The following is a 4,041-nucleotide window of genomic DNA, read 5'->3' on the forward strand; positions in this document are numbered from 1 at the left end:
AGGGAGGAGCAATAGCAGAAAAGTTAGGGATCCAGTTTTGGCAATAGCCAATGTATTCTAAAAATAGTCAGAGTTGTCTTTTGGCCTTGGGGAAAGGGAAATTGATGACAATGTTACTTCTTTTAGAAGATAAAGTGTGTCCTTCAAGGGAGATATCATGTCCTAGGCACTTGAGGGCTGTTAATTTTATGTTGGGTTTAATGATGTTATGTCCCTTGTGGGCAACGGTTTGGAGTAAATATTGAGTGTTGGCAATCACCATTGAACTGAGAAGGGGTCATCTACCTTCTGAATTCAGGTAATATTGGGGCTAAGACACTTTCAGAGGTGACTGATGGACTGAAGTTCCTCAAATGAGGCTGGCCTGAGTCATGAGTGGATGAGACTGAGCAGTAGGGAAGGATAACCAGGTACAATGGGGGGCTATGCCTGACCATTCCCATCTCAGACCCCCACATCTTCTCGAGTACATGATGCTCTGAGAAAGAGAGGGATATAGTGCACAGCAAAGCTTTGCTGTGGGAAACCCACCAAAAGAGCTCAACACAGCAGCAGCACATGTTTTCTTGTTGACTGGAGAGAGAGCCACACATAAAAGCCAAATTACAACAGGTTTTTATTTAACAATGGTTAATGGCTCCTGAAAAACCCCTTAGGGACCAGCCTATAATATGTATGAATATATATGAGATTAAAATAATTGAAATTCAAAATCAATTAAAAATGAAACCTATTTGTTAAGATACTTAAAACAGAGACATTGGAGTGATGTTAGAGATGGAAATAAAGACTAGTGGGTAAGAACTTATTGTAAGACAGCTAACATTTAGAATGAGAAGGAAGAAGTAGAGGGATAAGGTCAAGTCTAAGAGCTTACGAGGAGGCTGCTGAGGTCAGCCCAACTTCTCAGTAAATGATATTCTATTTAGCATAGTGCAAGGCTTCATTGCACTACATATGACCTGTGGCTGCCCCTGCTGATGGCTGTCACCCACCCTTGCAACAAGAAATATGCCTATGTCAAGTCTGCCCTGTGAGTATTGACCCTGTGCTAGACACTAGTTAGATACTGATTATACAAGGATGGAAAAGACAGTGTTTGCATTTAAGAATACTTTCTAGAAGGGAGAGAGGCAGGTAACTGCCTGTAAGTTCAAACAGGAGAACACACAAGTAGGAGCAAAGAATTCTTACTGGGGATGGTTAGAGACTGTTTCACAGAGGGGACAAAGGGGCAGGACTTATATCTCTATATGAGCAGACAGAACAAGGGCATCAAGCAGAGAAAACAAAGAACAAAGGTTCACAGTCAAAAATATACCTCACCTCCCTTCCACCTCATTCCTCCACTCCTTTCTGCCAATTCTGATGTGTCTTATATGGAAGGGATATTATCACAGTGGTGAAAATGTTGGTGTGCCTGGAGTACAGGTGGAGTCAGGAGTCCTGCAATGTGAGAATGAAAAAATAGGTTGGGCCTGGGTGTGGAGGGCTGTGGGTGCCAATTAGCAGTTTGCTGTGCTTACAGTGCTGCTCCCTTGAAGATCAGGAAATGAAATCTTACAGAAAGATAAGTCAGGCAGCATGGAAAGGGTAGGTAAAGGGAGGAACAATGAAAAACCTGTAGTCCAAGAGGAAGCTATTGCAGAAGATTGGATGAAAGATAATAAGCCTCAGAGATGGATCAGTGTCAGACATTTCTGGGTAAGACTGATAGAATCTGATGACCACTGATCTCCATGGCCTGCAGAATCTGGTCTAACAGGAGCATGGTGGTGTTGTGGAGTATGTGGACTTTACAGCCAGGCCAGCTGAGTTCAGTCTGATTCTGCCTTACAAAGCTCTGTGATTCTGAGCAAAAGATGTGCAAATGGGTCTAATGCCACTTAACCTTTTTTTTTTTTTTTTTGCAAAGATGAAATGATGCCATGTATGTAAATCTAATATGGTCCCTGGCACATAAGTAATTCATACACCTTAGCGCCTTTCAGCTGGTGTTCAAGGCCTCTTATAATTTGATTCACATGCATCTTTCTAGGCAAATGAACCACTCTCCTGTACTCATCTCTTTCCTCCAAAAACAGAGGGCTTTTTTGATGTAGGCATTTCTGCTTATAAATTTCCGTCTTGGTACTACTTTTGCTGTATCTCACAGATTTTGGTATGTTGTGTTTCTATTTCCATTGGTTTCAAGAAATTTTTAAATATCCTTCTTAATTTCTTCATTAACCCATAGGTCATTCGGGAGGATATTGTTTAATTTCCAGGTATTTGTACAGTTTCCAAAGGTTTTTTTGTTACTGATTTCTAGTTTTGTTCCATTGTGGGCTGAAAAGAGATTTAGTATGATTTAAAAAAAAATTGTTCAGACTTGTTTTGTCACGTAACATATGGTCTATCCTGGAAAATGTTCTACATGCTGATGAGAAGAATATACATTCTACAGCTGTTGAATGACATGTTCTGTATATGTCTATTAAGACCATTTGCTCTAAAGTGCAGCTTAAATCCAATGTTTCTATGTTGATTTTTTGTCTAGATGATCAGTCTGATGCTATGAGTAAAGTGTTGAAGTCCCCAGCTATTATTATATTGGGGTCTATCTCTCCCTTTAAATCTCAAATAAATAACCCAATGATGCACCTCAAGGAACCAGAAAAGCAACAACAAATAAAACTTAAAATTAGTAGAAAGAAAGAAATAATAAAAATCAGAGCAGAAATAAATGAAATAGAGAACAAAAAAGTACAAAAGATCAATAAAACAAGAAGTTGGTTTTTTGAAAAGATAAACAAAAGTGACAAAACATTAGCTAGACTAAGAACAAAAGAGAAAACCCAAATAAACAAACTCAGAAATGAAAAAGAAGACATTACAACTCATGCCATAAAAATATAGGGCTATTTACTGTTTCTCAGACATGCCTTACTCTTTCTGATCTCTAAGTCTTTGCTCACACAATTTATTTTCTTTAAGTATCCTTCTTCTCCTCAGTTTTCATTGCTATCTTAAAGGCTTTGCTTCAGATAATACCTCCTTTAAGAACACATCCTCAATACCCCAAGTGGAAATTATCTTTCCTTCTGTTAAACTCTCAAAACACTTTATTGGAATCACTTTAATGGCCCTTACAATATACTGCACTTTAGCTAGCTATTTGGAGTATATTTTTCCCTCTCCTAGGTAGCATATGTTTAATTTTCCTAGTCAGTAGTACTTAATTCACTCTACAGTGTTATCAAAAGTAGATATTTAACAGATTAATATGATTGTCTCAGAAAGAGGTCAGTTGAGTGCTAGGTATGGGTGTGGGAGGAGGATGGTGTATGTCCTTGCTAACCAGAAAAGTCGTAGGATTGTACCGCTGCCAATCCTAATTTTATTGCTCTCATTTCTAGTTCCTCCACAGCATCTAGGTATGGCAAAATTCAATATATAAGGCCAGTAAAGAGTGTTTCAGACAATACCATCTGACTAATTGGCTGGAGTTCTTGGTTATATGTCTAACATGTTTTATGATCTACAGTCTTAATTTAGGTGATTGGCAAAGATAAAGATATTTGTAATAGGACTTCAGTGCTATTTCTGTAAGAAAAATCTAGTTTGACAAATGAAATCATGATCTAGGCTAATAGCATATTGTTTCGAAATTAAATGGCTCTATCTTGTACTTCATGCTCAATTTTGCTGAGAACCAAAAACTGCTCTAAAAAATGAAGTCTATTAAAGAAAATAAAATTATCTGATTAAGTGGCAAACTATGGCATTTTTTGCTTAAAACTTTTAACTTCTTGACTATCCATGGCTTAGTAATTAGTTTGTGGTCCCCTTTATGTACAGCGAAAGACATTAGAGAAATACGGTGTTGAACTAAGCAGCTGGAATACCAGCCTGTCATTAAACTTATGAAGAAAAAACTGACACTGGAGTGATGGACAAATAGATGTGCTAAGATTTTTTTTTCTGTAAGGAAAAGCAGTTTTTGAAAAAGAATGCCTCATATTTACATTTTAAAATTAAAAAATAACTTGTACACTATGG

This window comes from Homo sapiens, chromosome 8 (genome assembly GCF_000001405.40).
Source record: "Homo sapiens chromosome 8, GRCh38.p14 Primary Assembly".
Lineage (NCBI taxonomy): Eukaryota > Metazoa > Chordata > Mammalia > Primates > Hominidae > Homo > Homo sapiens.